Source organism: Homo sapiens, chromosome 7 (genome assembly GCF_000001405.40).
Source record: "Homo sapiens chromosome 7, GRCh38.p14 Primary Assembly".
Taxonomy (NCBI): Eukaryota; Metazoa; Chordata; class Mammalia; order Primates; family Hominidae; genus Homo; species Homo sapiens.
The window spans coordinates 88,294,686-88,319,600 of record NC_000007.14 but is presented as its reverse complement, the minus strand read 5'-3'; the positions used below and the strand labels follow the sequence as shown (position 1 = coordinate 88,319,600).

Here is a 24,915-nt window from a genome sequence, read left to right as displayed (position 1 = left end):
TAAAAGGGAAATAAATCTTGGGACCCCAAACTCATTAACCCAAAGGGAAAAGTCAAGCTGGGAACTGGGTCATGCAAAACTGCCTCCCCTTTTTGGTTCCCAAATAAGATGGCTACAAGATGAAAAACTACACACCTCCCTCATATTTTGCCCACAAGGAAATTCCTAATGAGCTCCAAGATATTTACCCTGAAGCATTTCTGTTAAAATTCACCAAGGCAATGTAAACTGATAGCTTATCTTTACAGATGCATTTACCCTTCTGCCCACCTGGCACAAATGCATATCTGATTGTTCCCCTGCCCCATTTTTGTTTGTTATCTTACTTAAAAATGCAGATTCCCTGAACCCTGTCCTATCTATGTTATCTTATGTAAAAATGCAGATTCACGGAACCAGACAAAGCCATGAATGACTATTTTCCCCCTACTCATCTCCTACATGAAAAAATGTGTACTTCTTGGCTAGGCACAGTGGCTCATGCCTGTAATCTCAGTACTTTAGGAGACCAAGGTGGGCAGATCATATGAGCCCAGGAGTTAGAGACCAGCCTGGCCAACATGACAAAACCCTGACTCTACTAAAAATACAAAAATTAGCCTGGCATGGTGGTGCACATCTGTCATCCCAGCTACTTAGCAGGCTGAGGCATGAGAATCACTTGAACCTGGGAGGTGGAGGTTTCAGTAAGCCAAGATCACACCACTGCACTCTAGGCTGGGCGTCAGAGTAAGACGGAGTAAGACTCTATCTCAAAGAAAAGAAAAAAGAAAATTGTGTACTTCCCAATATCCCTCCCTTACCTCTTTAAATTTAAAGCCCACAAAATCATCTTCGGAGAAAGGCATAGACCTGTCTCCCGGGCGTGTCCTTAACTTTGGCAAATAAATCTCCTAAAATGATTAAGACTTGTCTCATTATTTTTCTCAATTGACCACACTATTAGTAGATAATACTATTTTTAAAAACTGCACATAATCACTGACATTTGTAGATCTGTACAAAAATCATAGGGAACATGTGTAGCTACAGAATAAAAATGGAGTTGGTATAATCTGTAGCTAAGACAGAAAGTTAAAGTATTTTAGGGGTTTAACTCTGAGAAATTATAGACACAAACCAGGAGTTCCCAGCAATTACCTCTGAAATCAGATGGGTCTAGACTAGCACCGAAGGGTGTGGGCCACTACAGGGTATAAAAACAAGATAAATACAGACGTCCCCTTAGTCACAACTGCCTAAGGGTGTTCCCAATTCTCTAGTGAAATAGGCTAAGTATCACCCAACCCATACTGGAGATATTACTGAAGGGTTTAAAATATGTTGTCTATATTTATGCTTAAATTAACTCTTTGTGTTTAAACTAATTTATAGTTCATCTACTGGCATGTAGCTAATTCTTCTAAACGAATGTTTTTATGTTTACAATTAACCTAAAATAATTGGAGAAAAGATTTAATGTAACACAAAGGAAAAAATGGCATCTGAACTAGGAATAGCCACTAATACTGGCAGTCACATTCTTCAGAAAGGGCAGACCACATGATGCCCAAATATGGATATTCATTTTTTGATCCAACACTTTTCACATATCTTAAGATTTTTAAAGCTAGGGGCCAATGTATGATAGTGTGGCCTTTATCCACACATCCAACTTCATAAATATTTCCATGTCTTCAAAATAGAAAGCATATTGTCATCTAAAAATCAGAAGTATGCATGCAAAGGTGTAAATATTTTATCAATCTATCTGTTCATTGTATTTAGTGATATTATGCAGTGCTTTATAGATGTATAGTCCTTTTGAGATGTACTATTATACATAGAAGAATACTATGTCTTTCTAGGAAGGATTCTGTTTTATTCTTCTTAGGTAGCTCCCACAATGCCTAGCACAGTTCTTGGTAAATCCGCAATCAATGGTAGTGCCCAGATTTCCTAATACTTCCTATAAATAGTTGTTCCTTCTTGTGGAAAGTACCACTTACACATGAGAGGCTGCTGAAGGAATTCATGTAAGATAAACATGACTCAATATTTTTTGCATTTATAATCATACCTGCTTCACAAGGCTGTTGCTTAAATAAATTAATATTTATAAAGTGTTCAGAAGATCATCTGGCATACAGGAAGTTCTACATAAGCACTTTTATTAGTAGTAGTGTTGTATTATAATTATTCACTACCCTTATAGAAAAAGGTTTGTATGAAGGAGTAAATACAATAATTACAATAATACATATTCTATTCAGCATTGTTGGGGAACAAAATCTTCCAAATTATTTTATTTTATTTTATTTTTTATTTTTTTTAGACAGAGTCTCACTCTGTTGCCCAGGCTGGAGTGCAGTGGCATGATCTCAGCTCACTGCAACCTCTGCCTCTCAGGTTCAAGCAATTCTCCTGCCTCAGCCTCTCTAGCAGCTGGGACTATAGGCGCCCACCACCATGCTGGGCTAATTTTTGTATTTTTAGTAGAGACGGGGTTTCACCATGTTGGCCAGGCTGGTCTTGAACTCCTGACCTCAAGTGATCAGCCCACCTCAGCCTCCCAAAGTGCTGGGATTACAGGTGTGAGCCACCATGCCCAGCCTAAATCTTCCAAATCATTGACATTACTACCTTTAAATAGTCAATCCATCAGTCTATTAATATTTATTAAATAGCTATTATTGTATGCCAGGCATGTTCTACAATAATAAAGAAGAGACAGTCCCTACTATCAAGAAGCTTATACTCAAGTGAAAAATGAAACAAAACAAAACATGAACACATCAATAAAAAATAAGATCTTTCATAATATGAAAAAAAATAAAATTGTGTAATGTGACATATAGGGCCTGCTTGAAAAGTGGTGGAGAAAAGAGCTACTTTGAACTAAGAAGATCAGTAAAGGCCACTAGTAGGGAAGTTTAGCTGAAACCAGAACAATGAGGTAGTCACTAGTAGATCTGAGCAAAGAGCTTTCCAAGCAGAAGCAATAGCAACCGCAACAGGCAAACATCCTATGATAGAATGTTCAAGGTTGGTGCATTAAGTCACTGTGGCACAATGTTGGATATGGCCCAGTGGAAAGGAATGAACTGACAACTGAAAAAGTGAGGGAAATTGGAGGAGTGAATTGTTGTTGTTGTTGTTGTTGTTTAGACAGAGTCTCTCTCTGTCACCCAGGCTGGAGCAGTGGCACAATCTCCAGTCACTGCAGCCTCCACCTCCCAGGTTCAAGCAATTCTACTGCCTCAGCCTCCCAAGTAGCTGGGATCACAGGTGTACGCCACCACGCCCGGCTAATTTTTGTATTTTTAGTGGAGACAAGGTTTCACCATGTTGGCCAGGCTGGTCTAGAAATCCTAACCTCAAGTGACCCACCCACCTCCGTGTCCCAAAGTGCTAGGATCACAAGCATGAGCCACTGCATCTGGCCTGGAGGAGTGAATTCTTTATGATGGTATGGGGTGGGAATCCAAAGCACATCAGGAGGGAATAGCCTTACAGCAATGAGAGTTGGAAGAGTATGTGGGCATGAATATAGTGAGCTGGTAGAACTAGAGGTGGGAAAATTAGATTATGGTGGGATCATAACCTGTGAGTGAGTGAGTGAGTGAGTGAGTGAGTGAGTGAGTGAGTGAGTGAGTAAAGGAACTAGAAGAGGTTTAAGAAATCATTCTAGAGAGTTAGAAATGGAATATGGCTCCACAGGTATAGTAGGATGCCACTAAGTGTAATATGCCCTGACATTTGTGGTCATGGTTTTGAAATAACTAAACCTAGCAACAATTATTTTATTTTCTCCAGTAACATTTAGCTGCTTGGGTGAAGATGCAAAGTAGGCAGTCACTTCAATATAACTAGTGTTGAAATTTTGCCAGGCAAGGAAGTGGCAAAGAGATGGCCAAGGTAATCAAGAAACATCTGTAAGAAAATCGTCATAACAGTATGTGAAATCACAGCTGGTAAGAAGGAAGTGAAAGATAGAGAATGTGATGAATATGATGAATATAAAAATAAATAACAAAGGCAGGGGATTAGAAGACTTTATAAGGTTGGTAACTTGCAAGAGTGGGATAAGCAGCGTAAGTGAGCTGGATGGATAAGAGAGAATGATCAGAAAATGAGACGTTTGAAATGAAAATGTGGTGACTGTTAGTAAGGAAAAGGTGGATGCTGTGACCATATGAGTAGCATCTAAGTGAGAAGGAAGGTGGATAGAAAAGATCAGTATCAAAAACTGACATAAGATTTTTTATTACTTTACAATCATTTGAGATCGAAATGCTATTAAGATTATTTTTACACCATTTCTTATATTATTCATGTAGACTAAACAATTTTGTTTTTTTCTGGTCATAAAGGGTGATCAATATAAAAATTAATTCTGGTATGACATATATGGTAATTTCCTCAGTATTTCCTGATTGTTTTGCTCATACAGTAAGTTATCCTAGACAATTGTATTTGGAGTCCTTGAGTCTGCTTTTTAGAGTTTACCTGTCTTTTTCCTCTGTTCCTTTCAGGCACAGGAGGCTGAAAACTAGATTTCCTAGAATTCACTAACGCATTTCTTAGTTAGATACTTGAGGGCATACCTAGATTGAAGTCCATGAACTTGACTGAATCTGTTTGGATTTCTCGTGTCCTTTCCTTGGCTTCCTTCCCTCTAGACAAGTGAAGCTTTACTCTTTGAGGAGGAAAAGGGGGTACCAGGGCTGACAGAAGTCAACCACTGACAATAATAATCCTTTATTTCTAGCCAATGGATTTTGACAAGATTTGACAAATTTCTGTATTTAAATTTCTAGTGTTCAATTAAGATACTTCTCTTGCTTATGAACAATCTTCTTGTGGAATAGTCATAAAGTTATGAGTGGCCCAGGATTTAATTTCAATGTTAAAATAGTTCTGATTTGGGGTTTTAATTAATTCACATTTGAATAAAAATTTATAACCTACCTCCCCCTGCTTCTAAAGATTCTTTCCTGTGTGGCCTTTCTCATGTGTAAAATCTATGATATAATCACTGCTATACAAAATGCGAGAAAGCACAAATTAAGACTATTCCCAAATAGCCAACAGCCCAACCAAAGCAGTTATCTAAAGAGGACTGGTAGAATAGCCATTTATTTTGTTTTTCTTCACTTCCTTTTTTTACTGTTAAATTTTTTTTTTTACTTAACACTAATTGATAGTACATGTCCACATCCTCGTTCCTGTAATTATTACACACGCAAAATAAGATGACAGGTCTGAGGCATCAAAACTCTTTCGGCAGCTGCTGTACAGTTCTGTTATGTGAAGAGGGAAGTCTCCACTTCCTTCTATATAATGAATGCTGCACATTCTTCCACAGACTGTTTATAAAAGCTGACTCCTGGGACCTAGTAAGCAATATCTTACTACAGAGATCCTTTCCAAAAAAAAAGGGCTTAGGAACTCTACAGAATGCTATTACAGACACAGGAGATATGGAGTTGGGAAAGAAGTAATTAAATGAAAACGTTATAGATTAAAAAGGAGTCTGAAAAAAAAGCAGAACCCTGGGAATAGCAAGAGATAAAGTAGCTGGAGGCATCTGGCCTTTTCTGAGCAAATTTAAGCACAAACTGGCAATCAGTAGAGGCAGTTACTTGAGCATTCTGCTTTAGCTAGGGAAGCACTGGTTTAACCTCACCAATACATTTTTGACATGAATGGTTTCAAAGATCTTATATATCTGCATACTTATTTTATAGATTTCTACCAGTCCATCATTTTCCCTTCAAACCATTCATTCACTCATTCAACATATTTATTGAGACCCTATGTGCCGGTCACCATTGTACGTGGTACATATACAGTAGGGCGAAAATTACCCCAAAATATCTTTGTGCTCATGGCTCATGAGTTCCAGAGGAAAGAAAAACACTAAATGTAATAAATAAATAAAGGACAGTATGTCGGAAAGTAATGAGTGCCGTGGAAATAACAGACAGCAGAGTAAAGGGGAGCAAGTGAAGGAGGTGGGCATGGGTGCGTGCAGTTTGATATAGGACTGCCTTGACCACTCTATTGGAAATGATCTCTAAGTTACAGTGTTAAGTGAAAAGAAGGAAGGTGTAGAAGAATGTGACTAGTAGGCTTCCACTTATATTTTTGTTGCTGTTGTTGTTTTTGAGACAGGGTCTTGCTCTGTCACCCAGGCTTGAGTGCAGTGGCACGAATATGGCTCACTGCAGCCTCGACCTCCCAGACTCAAGTGATTCTCCCACCTCATCCTCCTGAGTAACTGGGACTACAGGCACGTGCCATCACACCTGGCTAGTTTTTTTGTTTTTTGTAGAGACAGGGTCTCACCATGTTGCCCAGGCTTTTCTCGAACTCCTGGGCTAAAGCGATTGGCTCACCTTGGCCTCCCAGAGTGCTAGGATTACAGACATGAGCCACCTTGCCTGGCCACCATTTGTAATTTTTAAGAACAAATATATATGCTTTTATATGCATAGTCTGTCTATGAAAGGAGCCCAATAAATCATCAACGTGGTTGCCTCCAGACAAGGGAGCTCAATGTCTGCAGAAAACAGCTTTTCAACATACCCCATTTATATCTTGAATTTTGCATTAATTGTTTAAATATTTTAGTTAATTATTTAAACTAAAGTGTTATATAATGTAAAACAATCTACAGTAACTAAATAAATTGTTTAGCAAACACTCTGTGAACATAAATCATCTGTATTTGGTACTACAGAATCATCTATAGTTAATACTACCAGTATAAAAATAATATATATAATTATCTTTAAAGAAACCCCAAAAAAGAAAATAACTTTTAGCAAGTAATTGATCTTTACAGTTAGAAAATGGAGAAAAAAAAATAGCCTCATATTTTCAGTATTCTTCTCTTTTGCTTTTCCTCCTGTGATTGGTTTTATACTATTTTCCCTGCTAACTCTATTTGAAAGTGAACAGGACCTCATTCACTCTAATATTTTTAAATTTATTTTTGTCTCCTCTTTAGCATGTGAAAAATCTAACTAACCTTCCTTTACTGGCACTAGGCACAAATTGCCTGGACTGGAATTGCTGTTGCCAATAATACTTCCAGTACTAACAGTAACTACCAATCAACTATTGATTCATAGCTCTGCTAGCAGCTTCATATATCATGGCGTGTACCAGCAGGCTGGGGTGAAAGCAGATGACACATCTTCAGTTTTTGAATTACAGAAAGAACATCTCTATTAATGCCAGCTGCATTTATCAAAAAATTAACTCAAATATTTCTCCATCTCTTCAAATTATTTTGCACATCTTGTTCTTTGGTAACATCGTATTTAAGTGACCTCTTCTGAGGTCAGCAGATGTGGTCTTGGGCCGCCTCCAGATTCCTATTGGTGATAGTCAGTCCATAGCCCTGCCAGTGCCTTAGAAGCTTCCAAAATTAACACAGACCTTGTGACCCAGGGAATCAGAGACCCAGATAAAGAGGAAAGGGTTTCCTTGCCTATTTTCAATTCCCAGAAGTAGCTGCAACTGTCTGTCACTTCTAGGCTTTGTCAGTGATGTTTTAAAATATTATTATTCACTTATCCCACATACTCAACTCTTCTCTTCAACCTCCTCTTGAACCTAAAGTCAAGTTCTTTAGGTCTTATTTTTAAGTTCTTTATTGTCATTCCTGACATTATCCCTAGTCCAGACTCCAATACTGTCAGTGTCTGACGTATTTTCCCATCAGTACTTTTTTTGGGTGCAGGTGGGCAGTAAAATGTTGTTTGGTTTTGCTTCCTGGTCTGTGTTGGCAGGAGTCCTAGAAATTGGTTAAAACCAGGTCAATGGCCTGGCTTCTTCACTATACCCTTTGCAGTTTCAGGAAAAAGGAGGAGAAGGATTCTATCTGTCCACCCCCACTAAAATAGGAAAGAAGTAGAAAAAAAGTTTTCTGAGACAGGAAAATGATTTCTGAATATACCAGGAAGTAGCTGAAAAACTTCAGTCACAGAAATTGATTATTTATCCAAGTCCCAAAGCTACTACAAGAAAACTCAGAAAGGCCTTTGTTTTGCTTTTTTTAACAACACATGCCTTCCTCATTCTGACCACATGTTGTGATGAAGCCACCTCAGTAGGCATTACAGTCACAGAAGTCTGACTGAGCAGGTGCCTTTCTCATCCTACCCAATCCCATTTTATACAAATAACAGACATTCAATTACTGACTCATGTCACTAAAAAGCCCAGAGTATACAGCTTTCTTCAGATATGGCACTCTAACAATTGCAGAAATCTGTCTCTTCTCATCTCTTTGCTCTCTTTTCCCCTGAAGTGGCCTCTTTCTCAGGCTGACTTTCTCCTCACAGTGACCCAGGCTTGCTTTTTAGCAGTCCGACAACCCTCTGTAAAGAGTGTGCTGCTTCCCAGGTTGTTCCAGGAAAGATTCCTATTGGCCCAACTCAGGTCACATGCCATCATTGGACCAATCACTGTGGACAAGGCTTTGTGCTTTGAATGGCCAGGTCTAAGTCAGGTGCCTGATCCTGGAACCCCAGTGCCATTGGTTCAACTTGAACCACGTGGATCAAGATTGTGCAAGGGCGTTTATCAAACGAAAATGAAGATATAATTAGCAAAGAGAAATGGATGCTGCAGGACCAGGACTAGAGCAGGCAAGGAAGGCACCAAAGGAAAAACATTTAAGAAGTCATTTATTTTCAGGTTCGTGCAGACTGGGTTTTGAGTGAGCACCTCCACAGATTTGGTGTCCTAGCCTCCTCATTCACCTCACTTAGTCCTGGTCCTGGATGCTAGGTAAGCAAAAGACAAAATATTCCTTACACCAATATTCAAATATATCTCCCAGAGCGCCTGAAATCCCTGCCATAGAGATTCATTTCTGGGGGTTAGACAGAGACATCTCTAGGAGTCCTTCAAAAAAAATTTTTTTTTCAAAAACAGCTAGAGGGCAAATCTTTAAGTCAATAAAAGATTCGCATACACATGCTAATTATAGACTATCAAGTCAGTCACCTCCTGGTCCAGCACGTGTTGAAAGCTCCACCCCACCCCAATAAGAAGGTGTGGAACACTGTAAGGAGAGGACTTGCGGAAGAGGGATAAATGCCCAAGACACAAGATAGTGCAGAGGGGAGCCCCAGAAAAGGAGAAAAATGGCATTGAAAGGGAGATACAAAATGTTAAGGGTAACTTTTTTTCAATCACTTAATAACATTTAATGAACACTGGCTCTAGGCCTACTTCATCAGTTTGCCTAAATTCTACCATTTGGGGCCTTTGACATAGTAGGATGAGGAGAGAGGAAGTAGCAGGAAAGACTCAGGGGCACAGTAAATGTGGAAATCCCTAAATAAGAACAATTTGGTGGTGCACAACATCTGGGAAGGTTTATCTGGAGCTCTGAGTATAAAACTACAGGAAGAAAGATGAATCCTGCCCACAGGAAGTCCTTGGGTACTCAGGTTGCTGGCATCTTTGGGAAGCTTAATTTTCCCCTATGGCAAGGGTTTACGGAAAGACTAGGAGAGTTATGAACTGTGTGTCCCTCCTAGGCCCAAGGGGAAAATCAATCTTTAAACCACAAGATAAATACGTCAAATGCCTCTTAAGTTTTGCACTAATAAAGGCATTTTTTTTCCATCCTTCATATCCCAGTAATTTAATCTTCCTTTTCTAGGACTCCAGTTGCCTTTGGCAAAGAAAAGAACTTGCATAACTGAAATATATCTGCCTCTCATAAAAATCACATTTCAAAATTTTTTATCTACCTAATAATAATAAGTTTATAAAGCAATGATTCTGTTATTACTCAGAGGATGCATTCGAGAATATGGTTGTCCATTATGTCAACTCATAATGGATCCAAACACCACCTAGAAACCAGAGTGACCTGGTCCATAGACCCCAGCTTCTGCTTCTAAATGGCATGCATCGATATAGCTACTCTCTTAACCAGATGTCAGTAAACCTTGGAATTTTATAACTCACTCGTCTGTTTATCCAGCAGCCTTCTGCATATAAAATAGCTTCCACAGGATATGTCTACATGGAGAGAATGTGATGGCCATAATGTCTGGTGCCCTTAGCAACTGTATTTTTACAATAACTATTTGCTTTATATTCCATTAACAACTAACAAGTCACCATTTTGGTTGTTTCAGGCTCAGTGTGCTTATCAAGTTTCTGTGCCCATCAAGGCTTAAAACCAAATGGTAGACAAAGGGCAAGTCTCCAAAACTGTGTTGACCATCTATGAAGACTCTTAGGGACACGCAGCGGACCTTCTTCCATGGGTGCACACCCCTCTCTTGCCTATTAGTCTGCAAACTGGGAAAATCAGATGCTATAAAATCAATGAATATTTTAAGTTCTTCCCTGGCCAAAGAATACTATCGGATGAATTTTTTGCAAAATATAATAATTGGCAGTAGATTTATTAATTAATGAGTGCAATAAATATTCAGTACCAATTACACTCACGCACCACCTAACAATGTTTCGGTCAATGATGCACTGCATATATAATAACGGTCTCATAAAATTATAATGGAGCTGAAAAATTCCTCTTGCCTAGGGACACTGTAGCTGTCATAACATCACAGAGCAATACATTACTCACATTTGTGGTGATGCTGGTGTAAAGAAACCTACTATGCTGCCAGTCATATAGAAGTATAGCATGTACAATTATGTACAGTATATAATACTTGATAATGATAATAAATAGCTATGTTACTGGCTTATGTATTTATTATATGTACCTTTTAAATTATTTTTGAGTGTACTCCTTCTACTTGTATTTTTTAAAAAGTTAACTGTAAAACAGCCTCAGGAAGGTCTTTCAGCAGATATTCCAGAAAAAGGCATTGCTACCACAGAAGACAGCTCCATGCATGTTACTGCCCCTGAGGACCTTTCAGTAACAAAAGACATACAGGTGGAAGACAGTGATATCACATATCTTGATTCTGTGTAGGTCTATGCTAATATGTGTGTTTGTGTCTTCATTTTTAGCAAAAAAATTAAAACTTTTAAAAACGGGACAAAAGCTTATCGAATAAGGATATAAAGACAAAAACTATTTGTACACACTGTACAATATGTGTTTTAAGCTGCGTTATTACAAAACTCAAAAAGTTTTTTAAAACTTAGAAGTTTAAAAAGTAAAAATGTTACAGAAAGCTAAGGGTAATTTACTATTGAAGGAAGAAAAATATTTCTTATAATAGCATAGCCTAAATGTAGTGTTTATAAAGTCTACAGTAGTGTATAGTAATATCCTAGGCCTTCACACTCTCTCACTTACTCACCCAGAGCAACTTCCAGTCCTGTAAGCTCCATTCATGGTAAGTGTTCCATACAGGTATACCATTTTTTATCTTTTATACCACATTTTTACTATACCTTTTCTATGCTTAGATACACAAATACTTACCATTGTGTTACAACTGACTACAGTATTCAGAAAAGTAGCATACTGAACAGGTTTGTAGACTAGGAGCAATCGGCTATATACCATCTAGCCTAGGCCTGTAGTAGGTGATACCATCTAGGTTTGTGTAAGTGCACTCTATGATGTTCACACAATGACGAAATTGCTTGATGAGACATTCCTCAGAATATATTTAATAAATTGCTTAATGAGGCATTCCTCAGAATAAATCCCCATTGTTAAGTAATGCATTTTGCTAGGTGTTATGGAAAATTCCAGACTGAAAAAACTAGGGTGTCATCCCTCGAAGACTGCAGTCCAGGACAAGACACACACACATGATAATAACTCTTTTGAAAGGCAAATTGTCTTAATTGCTGTGCTAAAAGTATAAACTACTGTATAGAGAAAGAAAATATTAATTGCAACTAATGGCTAAGAAAAGACCTCTTGAAAGACATGGGGTCTGACCAACCCCACAAGAAGCTATGAGGAGAGTTGCAATCCAGACAAAGGGAAGGTTGACTCAACAACCCCTTTCCATGGGAGGAACAGGCCTCCCATGTGGCCGGGCCTCTGGAGCTTGGCAAGCGTATGCTGTGGAATTTAAGACCCATGGCTGAGTGGAGATCATTGGGAAGACTCTGGGATTTAGATTACAGAGTTTGGGAGTGTATGGATGCTTTGCCCCATAGTTTATCAGGATTATTTCAATCTTAAACAACCAGGGCTGTGGTTTTTGACCTTCTCTGTAGAAAGACACATTTGCATGTATATCATAAGGTATCCCGATCCCTCTTTCATTTGTTTTATTTCTTTAATCTACCTAAATTAAGACCTGAAAACTCAAGATCTTCCAAGTTATGAGCCCCATAAGAACCCATGGCTTCCAGGCGGAGGGGAAAGATACCACCTTTTCTATAAACTGAGACAAGATGGCAAAAGAATTGCCTAGAAGCCTAGTCCAGGTGCTGTTTTCTCAGCTACTCAAAGAGATCCTTCTTGCTCCTTTAGGAAAGGGGGATTCCTAGACCTCTCCAAACCTCAATCACCCTGGGATGCACAGATGCCAAGGGCTCGGGTGTAACCCTTAAAATCCCCGCTTCCCGGGGGTCAGCGGCACCATCAGCAGCACCGCAGTATAGAAGTTCCGGTCCTTCCAGCTGCTGGGATTCTCAGCTTGAACTCTTCCAGGAAACAAGTTCTTTTCCGCTTCTCTTGCGAAATCCAGCAGACCGTCCCGCCCTTCTCTGGCTTCTTATAGCAGCGAGAGCCACAAGCCACAGCGCTGAGCTGCAGGCGCGGCGAAACTTCCCTCTACCCGCCCGGCCCGCGGCGCGCACCGTTGGCGCTGGACGCTTCCTCCTTGGAAGCGCCTCTCCCTCAGGTGGGTCACTTTTCGCCACAAGGCTCCCGTCCCTTATCTGCTTCAGCTCACCTCCAGTCCCTGCTGCTAGGACCCCACTCCCCAGCCCATCGCACTGAAGAACAGGTGCTTGCAAACTCCCCGCCGCGCCCCGGCATCACTTTAGAGGAAAGTCACCTGAGGCTGCTCCGCGATTCAGCAAGCTTCTAACTTCCTGGAGTTTAAGGCTCATCCCTACCCCAGGGTGCAGACAAGCCCAAAGGGGGAAAATTAAGGGGTTAGATTCTTCTCTGCATCTTACTTCTGGATTGGCGCACTCTTGGGGCGCCCATCAAAAAGTAGGCTGGAAGAATGTGGCTTTAGCAGTCAGTCTCCAAGGTCTCAGATCCGAGGCTGCTTCTTGACCAGGCACTAAAAATTTGTCCTGATACCTGCAACCACTTCCATTTTTTTATCTTGATTTAAATTTCCTCTTGCAATTTAAAGGTTATTTTTCTGGAGGAAGATTGTTCAGAATATAATTTATTGTGAAGAGTAAATAAAGCCTCAGTTCCGTTTGTTTGTCCAGAGACAGAATTTTATTATTCTTTTTCCCACCTCTAGATGGTAATTTAGGAACTTTCTTTAAAAGATTGGTGTACTGAGGCTGGGTACGGTGGCTCAAGCCTGTTATCCCAACACTTTGGGAGGCCAAGGCCGATGGATCACTTGAGGTCAGGAGTTCGAGACCAGCCTGGCCAACATAGTGCAACCCAGTCTCTACTAAAAATACAAAAATTAGCCAGGCGTGGTGGCAGGTGCCTGTAATCCCAGCTACACAGGAGGCTGAGACAGGAAAATCACTTGAACCTGGGAGGTGGAGGTTGCAGTGAGCTGAGAAAGTGAATTGGATAGAGAATGGGGGAGGGGAGGAAGAATACTATTCCTAGTTCTATAATAACTAGAACCTCATTATCTCAGCCTCAGTTTCCACAGATGTAAAATAAAAGGCTGGCTACTGGGCCAGATGATCCAGAAAGTTCAACTCTAACAAGGTGAAAAGCCGTGACTAAAGATGCCTGCAAGTTTGAAATACATAGAAAATCTCCTTAATGCTACAACTATAATTCAGTGGTTACTTTTTTCATAATAATGCATGTTCCATTTTTATAAGGAAACTCTCCAGTTGTCGGGGGAAGAGTCTCTTCCCACAGGAGCATCTTAAAGTTCTGCCACATTTATCATTCAGAGAATACTCTCAGCTTTCAAAACCATTCTTCAGCCTTGCTATGTGAGAATGTCCTATTCCCTACAAATGGCAGTCATATAAATGTCACTCACATGAGAGAACATTTTTTTTTTCTGATACAGTAGGTATAATTTTGTAAAATGGCACATTTATTTGAAGCAGTAACTTTTCTGAGATATGGCCTTTTGCAAGGTCCCAAGTTTTTCAGAATGCTGTGATTTAGCACAATATGAGATTTGACCTGCATGTATTCTACCTGCATGGCAAACACTGCCAACCCAGAAAACAGGATGAGACACTTCCTATTTATCAGGCTCCAAGGCTGTAAAGTAAATGGTACATGTGTACAGAGAAATTGGGTCATAGCAGTTTTTCTATTTGGTAACGTTTACAGTTCCACTGAGGTTCACGTTGTTCACATTGTTGAAGTTCACATTGTTCAGAAACCAGGTGTACAAGGCCTGGCCCCTAGCTGAAGAACAATTTCCAGACTTCTGCCTTACTAAAGCTCGCTAACTGTTGTTTAGAAGGAACTAAACAGACTTTTTAAGATTGTTAATAAATTAAAAACCCCAGGCCTTGCACTATGTGTGAACAATTTTAAGAAAAATAAGGTCATTTGTTATGGAATTTTATATTCAAAGAAACTTGGAGTGGTCACTCTGCATTACTTTGTCTCTTGAAGGACTTCCCCTGAATCACCCTACTATTATTAATACTGTTATTAAAAGGATATAAATTCTCCTTTTAAAGGCTGGGTAGCTGATTCTGTTGTCACTCTCAGGAACACATTCCACTGTTTTAGGATCCTTACCACCTAGTTCTCTTCATAATTAATTTAGACGTGTTTATCAAATGCTACTTAAAAATCATTTTTTTTTTGGAAAATCTTAGGAAATCTGATAAGTTGCTAGCAAACACACACACACACACACACACACACAACAGCAGCAACACAGTAGTCCTTCAAAACCTGAAGATTGGGCACTTTGCTAGGGCACTTTGTAGCTAGTTTTTTCTGGGTTGTCCTCTGAGAAGGTAATTTGCTAGTGCCTGCAGCTACATCTACCAATAATTCTTACTATAACAATGCAGAGTAGGATGGGGATAGTGAAGTTTTCTGGGTGGGATTTTGTTTGTTTGTTTGTTTTTTTGTTGTAAGTTTATGCCAGATAATAATAATGTAAGGTTTACAGAGATAAGATCTCTGAAGTTACCTGTCTCTGTTCTTCACAGATTTTTTTTTATTATTATACTTTAAGTTTTAGGGTACATGTGCACAATGTGCAGGTTAGTTACATATGTATACATGTGCCATGCTGGTGCGCTGCACCCACTAACTCGTCATCTAGCATTAGGTATATCTCCCAATGCTATCCCTCCCCACTCCCCCCATCCCACAACAGTCCCCAGAGTGTGATGTTCCCCTTCCTGAGTCCACGTGTTCTCATTGTTCAGTTCCCACCTATGAGTGAGAATATGCGGTGTTTGGTTTTTTGTTCTTGCGATAGTTTACTGAGAATGATGATTTCCAATTTCATCCATGTCCCTACAAAGGACATGAAAAGAGACTGGTTTACTAATTAGGAAAACTTCCTGAACAGTTCTATATACTGTGTTAACTCCACTCAAGATATTTCTGATGACTTTTAGGTCATTTCCAAAGTGATTTGAATTAGTATTTGTCCTTTTGTTAAGAAGAAATCAGTCCTGGAAGGAATCAAACTAAATAAATAACTAAAGAATAATTAATGCATAAAACAAGGCATGCTAAGAAAACATTCTTGGCCTACATAGATTAACAATTTGTTCTTCCCAAATCATTAAGGAATAGAAAACAATGAATCCTTGTGCTGTTTAAAGATCCTCTTTCAGAAACATATCATTGCAAAAGAACACACTATTCTACTAAAGGAAGTATATACACTCTAATTAACTAGGCAGGACATTGACATCCCAATCTAAATTCTTCTCCACAATGTTCTGTAAGAGTTTATTCAGCCATGTGTGGAGAGGTTTACTGTACTGTACTTTGGCAGTCACATATTTCTGAAAAGCTATTTTGGGAGGACTTTTTTTTTTTTTTTTTGAGACTGAGTCTCGCTCTGTCACCCAGGCTGGAGTGCAGTGGCAGGATCTTGCCTCACTGCAACCTCTGCTCCTTGGGTTCAAGCAGTTCTCCTGCCTCAGCCTCCTGAGTAGCTGGGATTATAAGTGCCCACCACAATGCCCAGCTAATTTTTTTATGTTTAGTAGAGAAGGGGTTTCGCCGTGTTGGCCAGGCTTGTCTGGAACTCCGGTCCTCAGGTGATCCATCCGCCTTGGCCTACCAAAGTGCTAGGACTACAGGTGTGAGCCACCGCGCCCGGTTGGAGTTTTTTTTTTTTTTTTTTTTTTTTTAATGCAGATTATATGATCAATCCTAACATCAGGATAAAGTTCCCTTTTCATCTTAAAAGGAAGGAAAATGTTTGCAAAGAGTAATTTTGAAAAGTTAGGAACTATAATTCTAAATAAAAAGAAGGCTAAAAGAAAATAAAACTATATAGCACAGCTCTTGGAAGATTATTAGTAGAATACAAGCTAGTCAGTTTGGCCTCAGCACCCAATTTTTTTTTTTTTTTTTTTTTTTTGAGACAGTCTCACTCCTTCACTCAGGCTGGAGTACAGTAGCGCGATGTCAGCTCACTGCAACCTCCATCTCCTGGGCTCAAGCAATTCTCCTGCCTCAGCCTCCTGAGTAGCTAGAATTAAAGGCATGCACCACCAAGCCTACCTAATTTTTGCATTTTTAGTAGAGATGGGGTTTCGCCATTTTTGCCAGGCTGGTCTTCAACTCCTGACCTCAAGTGATCTGCCTGTCTTGGCCTCCCGAAGTGCTGGGATTACAGGCGTGAGTGACCGCACCTGGCCAGCACCCAATATTAAGGAAAAAAAAATGCATTAAGAACAGAGCCAGGGCTCAGAGAGCTGATGGCACCAGCACTGTGGAGCGTAGAAATAGGAAGGGATAATTAATGGTCATCGCTGATTGTTCATCTTTCATCTATACCTGCTCTTTTTACAGGGTGTGAAAACAGTTTTGAGCTCAAGTTAAATTGTGGCTGCAAAACTTTTGCACAGACTTTGGAAAACTTACTTGTTCCGCTTCCTGGCAGATTCAAGTCCCTCCTAGCCTGTAGGCGCCCATCCTCTCTACACATTCGTCTGCTCTGGCCATTACACTATGCATTGCAACAATTTGATTATATGCTTCATCTTTCCCAAGACCAAAGCTCCTTGAGGACAGGGTCCATCTCGTTTCTCACTTTATCCCTCTTAGTGTGGCTATTCAATAAATCTCTGTTGAAAGCAAGGCATTGCTAATAACACTGATTTTTATTTTTGGAAGATACTTACCTTATGGACATAGTACATAATGAGTATGGATGCTGCCTGCACAATATTAGTTAACAGGGTCAAAGTGCAGTGGCAAAGTCCACATTTTAACTTCCTACCATTCAGGGAGAGGCATGAGGTTGCTTTGAACTGTATAGCACATATAAAGTGAATAGTTGAAATTATTATAACATTTTATTTAAAGTAGAAGAAACTGCAGGAACCTTGGTATTTCCTGATTTAGTGTCCCTATTATGTTGCTATACTGTATTGTAGTTACAAATTTATTTGTAATATTTTGTATTCTAATTCGTTTTAAAGAGTGATATGGGGCCAAACACGGCGGCTCACGCCTGTAATCCCAGCACTGTGGGAGGCTGAGGCGGGCGGATTGCCTGAGCTCAGGAGTTCAAGATGAGCCTGGCCAACATGGTGAAACCACATCTCTACCAAAAATACAAAAATTAGCTGGGCGTGGTGGTGCACACCTGTAGTCCCTGCTACCTGGGAGGCTGAGGTGGGAGAATAGTTTGAACCCAGGAGGCTGAGGTGGGAGAATAATTTGAACCCAGGAGGTAGAGGATGGCACCACCGCACTCCAGCTGTCTGGAAAAAAAAAAAGTGATATGGGGCCAGGTGCAGTGGTTCACACCTATAATCCCAGCACTTTAGGAGGCTGAGGTAGGAGAATCACTTGAGACCAGGAGTTCAAGACTAGCCTGGGCGATGGTAAGACCCCATCTCTACAAAAAATAAAAATTAAAACGTTAGCTAGGTGTAGTAGTGCATACATGTAGTCTCAGCTACTTGGGAGGCGGAAGTGGGAAGATCTCTTGAGCCTGGGAGGTCAAGGCTGCATGAGCCATGATCATGCCACTGCACTCCTGCCTGGGTGACAGAGCAAGACCCTGTCTAAGAATGATATGCTCTTCTCCAGTACCAAAGTACTAAAGTGATTTATTCATCCTATTCAATTCCCTGACATAAGTGGCACAAGAAATGGGAGGAGATTGAGGAGAAAGCAATTAGCTGGTTGGTAAATGGTTCATTGCAGTTAATAATGAAAGTGTGCCAGTTGCCTCTGGTTTTCATAGTTGAGATCCTAAACTGCACTTACCCTAGTTCTGAGGTGTGTCTGAATAACTTTAAAATACGTGCTGGGGATGGTGGTACACAGATGGGTCCCTGTATCTATCTCCCTTAGGGAACCAAGAGTCTAAAGCTATCAGGTTTATAGCTAAAATTGTGTTGATGCCATGTGTGAGGTAGAGAGGGTCTGGAACCTTTGTTGGGGTAGGGAAACCACAAGGATTCTGTTTTCCTAAAGAACTTAGGAGCCTTGTAAGAAGGTGAGGCCATAAGAAAATAGATTTATGCTCAGATTCAGCCAGGACTGGGAAAATGGTATTATCCCATCAGCCCAAATATTTTCCCATTTTTGTGGTCACATTCCAGAGTCTTGGGGAAAAGGGTAAAAGAAGCAGGGGAAGAACCAGTGGTATGTTGGTAAATGCCTCTCTAAGGAAAAAAAAAGTCCTGATTTGTAGCACTTGGTGATTGTCATAAGGTAAAAACTCCTACTGTGACTGATTTCAAGCTCCCAGCTGGCAAGCTGGCCACAGCCACACCACTGAAAGGCTGAGATTAAAAACCTGAAAACTAGGCCAGGCACAGTGGCTCATACCTGTAATTCTAGCGCTTTGGGAGGCCAAAGGTGGGCAAAGTGGCATAGGGGATGTGGAGGGAGGGGCTGATTACTTGAGGCCAGGAGTTTGAAACCAGCCTGGCCAACATGGTGAAACCCAGTCTCTACTAAAAATACAAAAAAAAATGAGCTGGACATGGTGGCACGCACCTGTGATCCCAGCTACTCAGGAAGCTGAGGCATGAAAATCACTTGAACCCAAGAAGCAGAGGTTGCAGTGAGCTGAGATCACACCGCTGCACTCCAGCTTCGGCGACAGAGCAAGAGTATGTCTCAAAAACTAAAATAAAATAAAAACCTTGAAACTAAAAAGAAAGAGCTGTTTATTTTAAAATATTTATCAACTAGCAATGCTCTCAAGCTTGTATATCAGAATATTACAAAAGGTTAGAAGAAGGAATTTCAAGAGCACTTTCTCCCCTGAGGTCAGAAATGGAGCAGCTGCAAGGCCAGATTATAGCCAGCAGCTCCATCTGATGGGTCTCAGCAAACATCAGAGGCACTGGGGCCATGGGGAGTCCTTGCCTCTGAGTGCCGTATTAGAAGTTACCCAAAAGAAGATGAAGTAGGCTATATTCATAAGCATTGTGGACTGCCCCCAGAGATTTCTAAAAATGGTTGGGAGATACCTTAAAGCAGAATGGAGTTCCTCCAACAGCAAGGAATGGGGGTGGGGTCAAGATCCACAACAAAACTGCTTTCTCCAAACTAACTGGCAGTTATTGATATTTAGATAATTCCTATTGGCCTTAATCTAAAGATAAATGCCCATTCTTAAGAAATTTTATTTGAACAAAGTTAATTCAAAATTGAAATTACAAATTACTTCCCAAATATCTCTGACCACAATAGACCTAGAAAAGCAAAACCCACTAATGAACACTAAATATTAGGGGAGTTGATGCAGATCATCAGATTAAGCAAATGCTTATGTAGTATGTACAAGCCAAATGCCACCAAAGCCATGAGATAGAGCTGTTTTTCTGATAGTGGCAATCCACTGGTCCTGGTCATGACCAGATGCCTAATCTTTGGTGACCCACAGATTTGTAAGAAGTTGTTCAGGATTTAAAATGTAAATGGAAGTCAAGGTAAATTAACCCAGAGACACGACTGAATCCCTGACCTTGTTGTCATGAGTCCTGGGCTTTAATCAGATAAACTAACCAGCTTGGACAGCAGATAATGAACCTACCTGATGAAATTCTTGGCCAGAGAATTATAAAACAATCTTAATTTATCTTGACAGATACTGCTGAGATCGAAATGTGGCAACATGTATTAATGAGATTTTTAATTGAACTAGAATTTCGACAAAGAACCTAAATTTAAGATAAATAAGTTTATCCTAAAATACAATTAAAATAGTTAACATAGATCTCTATTACCTCACTTTCCTCATAATTTATAGTGTTAGTAAAATATTACTAACAATCACTTTAGTTGCCGCATATGACATAGTTAGTTCATAGCTAGTTGTTAGCAATTCATGTAGGATACATCTCTATAGAACATTAATGTAAAGATTGCCTTTAATTATGCTCTTGTGACTTGATGAAACTGTGCAAGTTAAGATTACTGTGTTTTTGTGTGCCATTCTATTGTCTAGCATAAAAAATAATCAGCAAATTCAGTTGCTATGGGATACAAAACATTTTCTCACAAAACAATTGAAATAATCAGTTTTTTAGCAACCAACCTGAAGTAGTTTCTTTATGTAGAAAAAGAGCTTTAAATGATATATTTATATTAATCTATAGCAATTAGTAACTTAAGTAGTTACTAGAACTTATTTTGGAAATCACAAGTTGATGATTTATCATGCTACAGGATTGCTCTAATTTTTACTTAAACTGATAGTAAGAGAATGGGCAGCAATATGAACTTATGAGAAGTGCACATGTCTAAGAAATTAGATGTAGGTTCTGAAAATTAGTTTGGATAAGCTTTTGCTCTCTTTAACTCAAGTTCCTCTCCCCCTGGAGTAAAAGGTGTGTGTGTGTGTGTGTGTGTGTGTGTGTGTGTGTGTGTGTGTTTACAAGAACCAGTTTGATGTAATTAGAATTTAAATTTCTAATCAAATTATATTTTAATATCAGAAGAGTTTATCTTAGTTCTAGTTGACATTCAATTAAAAAGGGATACTAATACACAAGCTTGAAGTTTCTTTCCAGTGGACCCTGTTCCTCTGACCACATTCTCCAATTCTCACTCAGTTAAAAAGAGCTACAAATATATAAAAGCATTTCATAATCTTTCATTTCATATGACCCAGCTATTAAATTATCTTTAAATGTCAGTAATAGCTTCTTTACTAATCTAGTTGCAAATTAGGCTATTTTAAATGGAGGGCAGATTGTCCCCAACTTATGTAAGTTAATGGTTCAACTTAAGATTTTTTTACTTGACAATGGCACGATAGCACTATGCACTCAGGAGAAACCATACTTTGAGTACCCAAGCAAACATTCTGTTTTTCACTTTCAATACAGTATTCAATAAATTACATGAGATAATCAACACTTTCTTATAAAATAGGCTTCATGTTAGATGATTTTGCCCAACTGTAAGCTAATTAAGTATTCTGAACATATTTAAGGTAGGCTTGGCCAAGCTAAAATGTGGGCAGTTTAGGTGTATAAACTGCATTTCTGTCACAATGTTTTCAACTTATTATGAGCTTATTGGGATGTAACCCCATCATAAATTGAGGAGCAGCTGTATTTTTGTAAGGGTTGCCCTTTGCTACCACAGTTAGTTCATACATATGCACTCACTTTCCCCCCTGCCTGGAAAACTCACCTGCAAACTCCTTCTTGCCTGTCAGGTCTCAGCTTGATTTAAGGTTGCCAGATAAAATACATGATGCCCACTCAAACTTGAATTTCATATTAAAACACATTTGTGTTTTTAGTACAAATGTGTCCCAAATATTGCAGGGGATATACTTACACTAAAAAAGTATTCATTGTTTATCTGACATTTGAGTTTAATCGGCATTATGTATTTTTATTTGCTAAATCTGGCAACCCTCACTTGACTGGCACCTCCTTGGAGAGATTTATGCTAAACAGTTCTCAAAACTAGTCTCCCTCTCTGTCTCCTCCCAACATTTTCTATTCCATCACTCTGCTCTGAATTCTTGTGAACACTTACTACCATCTGAAATTATCTTATTTTTATGTGTGTGTTGTCCAACTTTCTTATAATAATGTACACACACACTGTTTTTGAAGCACACAAATTCAGAGATCAGTCTTAGCACTTTGTAAGGAGATAACATTTCCAAACTCTATATGAGATCTGTATTCTTCACCTCTTTACCCTCAACCTATAGAATAGCATGTGGTACACAATAGGTGATCAATAAATATCTGATGAAGGAAGGTGTTAATGTGTATATTAAAAGAAAGAATTTGAAAATTATACATAAATATCACCAGGAAGAAATTGCCCTTGCAAACAGCACTACTTCTAACTACAAAGCTAAATTTTAAAATATACATTTATATTTTCAAATGACTTATATATGGCTTAAAGATTGAACTGTCCAAAAAATGTTAGAAAAAGCCATTTATTATGGGCATTCTTTTTTTTAATAAACTGTAATCAGTGATCTTTTTAAACCAAGGTCTACTGATTTTGCTACAGTAATACCTACCTGCCAATAAAAGAATATGTAGTTGAATGTGAATGTTTGTTATCCCTAGGGAGCCTTGATCTCACTAAATACAGAAATAGCTCAGTGAATAAATTGGATACGTTTGTGTTTTCATGGAAGGTTTTTATTTTTTTTAATATTTTTTGCTTTCTAATTGTCCCTGGGATATATTAAAACAAATGCTGTGAATCACAAGAAGACTGATATAGTTGCAGAACCCCCTCCTGCCCTTTTGCCTTGTGATGAAAGGAAACATTTGATTGATGGATTTCGGCTCATTACAAATATGTTATCAAGTCATCAAGGGCTTTTGGGTTGAAATTCAGAAAGAATAATAAAACAGAAGGAAGGACTTTAAAAAAACCCTCCTATTTACAGCTGTTAAATTAAAATAAAAAATCCTGTCACATCTTAAACAGTTTGAAGGTGTTATTTGCATTTCAACTCTCTGGAAGGTGCCAAGCCAGATCTCTGATTTGTGTGCTACACTAGTGGTTGTATGTGTCCAGAGGGGATAATGTCTGAGGAATTCAGATGTTTGGATGAATGATTATTTCAGAATTCAAAGCTGAATTCTCAAAAAGAGAAAGAGGCAGAATGATTTTATTAATGGCTTCACCCAACTGATTAGTAACACGTTATCACATTATGCTGTACTATGTGATAGTTGCTATTAGGGGTACCGAGTAGATGTATAAGTAGATCTGATCAAATTATAATTTCATGGCTCTTGGAAGACAACTCTTTAAGGTTTCCTTGAGAGAGTTATGGAACAAACCTTACCTACAGTTTGACAAGTCTTGAATCTGGCATACCTTGAACTCTCTCTTTTCCAAGGCCTGCACACTCAAAACATACTCATTTTGCCTCCGGTTCTCAAAAAGAGAGGAATTCTAGCTTCTCAGCCAAAGAAGACTTAGAGGAAAAAATTGTAAGGAAGGTGAAGTTTCTGCAGCTCCTTACAACCTTAACATCCTGTTCTTCCTCTTATCTTTCCTCTCCCTACCACACCTCTCCAAAATAAAAAGGAAAAGAAAAAGATAACTTTACCTTTTTCCACCTCCAGTGGTTCTCCAAAACGGGTGCTCTTCAGAATCGCTTAAGTTTGTTTTAGTTTGGCTTTTAAAATACAGATGCCTGGGCTCTACCTCAGATCAATTGATTCAGAATCTCAGGAGGTGGTTCCCTAGCATTTTAACGGCTCCTCAGCTGATTCTAATGTGTTACCAGGAAGAAGAACCGCAGTAGCAGGCCATTAAGTGAAAGCTAACATAAAAGCTGATAAAAGCTTTAAGGCAATGGTTCTCAAGCTTGGCTGTACATTTGAATCACCTGGGGGAGCTTAAAAAAGTGCCCAGGCTCTACCCTAGACCAGTTGATTCAGACTCTCCAATAGTCTGGGCCTTCAGGCTCTCTACCTGATTCTCATGTGCACCAGGGTTGAGAACCACTGGTTTCTAGTGTAACCCTTTGCAGAGGTATTTGCATTTTCATAAGCCTTAGTGTAGACCTTTGCAGAGTTATTTGTATTTTCATAAGCAACTAAGAAGTTGCTTCAATGATTAAAGACAGGAAAGGGTGCTAGGAAAACATCTGTCTGTCTGTACCACCACCATGTCCTCTCTCTTTCTGAACCCTTCCAAACCAATCTTTGTAGATAGGTTCTTCTATGCCTACTTATCTAATGACGGATCCCAGCATACTATTCTCTGTTACTAAAAATTATGTTGTGATGATTGAAACTGATGAAAGACTGTTGTCTTTACACTTGTTTTTATAATGATTACCTCCAAAATTTTCATATAAAACTTTTTTACATTTTAAATTTGTATATTTTTGTAAAATTAGGTGAGCTAAGAAACAAGTTAGACTCCTAATGGTGTGCATAAACAATGGTTGAGTCTTTGCATAAAGAAATCTATCTTCATTTGTATACTTTGTGTGTTTTTTAAAAATAAAAGAAATCAGAGGGATTCATGGAGGCTAATTTTCCCTTCCAGGCCTATCTGTACCAAAGAAAAGGGAAGATTTTCTTGCCTTTTCTTTTTCTACAAATGGCATTATATGCATAGGTATTTATATATTTTTATCTTTATGAAATTTCAGGGGGAAACAATTGGCCCATTTTCCAAGTGTAAGAAAAGAAAGTACCACC

At 39.1% G+C, this 24,915-nt stretch overlaps 1 protein-coding gene and 1 long non-coding RNA gene across 4 annotated transcripts in view; one reads left to right on the top strand and one right to left on the bottom strand.

Moving 5' to 3' along the window:
• The window catches only part of LOC124901692 (uncharacterized), a 41,815-nt gene that overhangs the window by 13,701 nt on the left and 3,199 nt on the right, over positions 1-24,915 (bottom strand). The gene's annotated exons all lie outside the window — the stretch shown is intronic.
• Positions 12,707-24,915, top strand: part of STEAP4 (STEAP4 metalloreductase) — a 36,003-nt gene continuing 23,794 nt past the window's right edge. For all 3 annotated transcript variants that reach the window (NM_001205316.2, NM_024636.4, NM_001205315.2), the window contains exon 1: positions 12,707-12,809. The gene's annotated coding sequence lies outside the window, so the exon portion shown is untranslated. The remainder of the gene's footprint in view (positions 12,810-24,915) is intronic.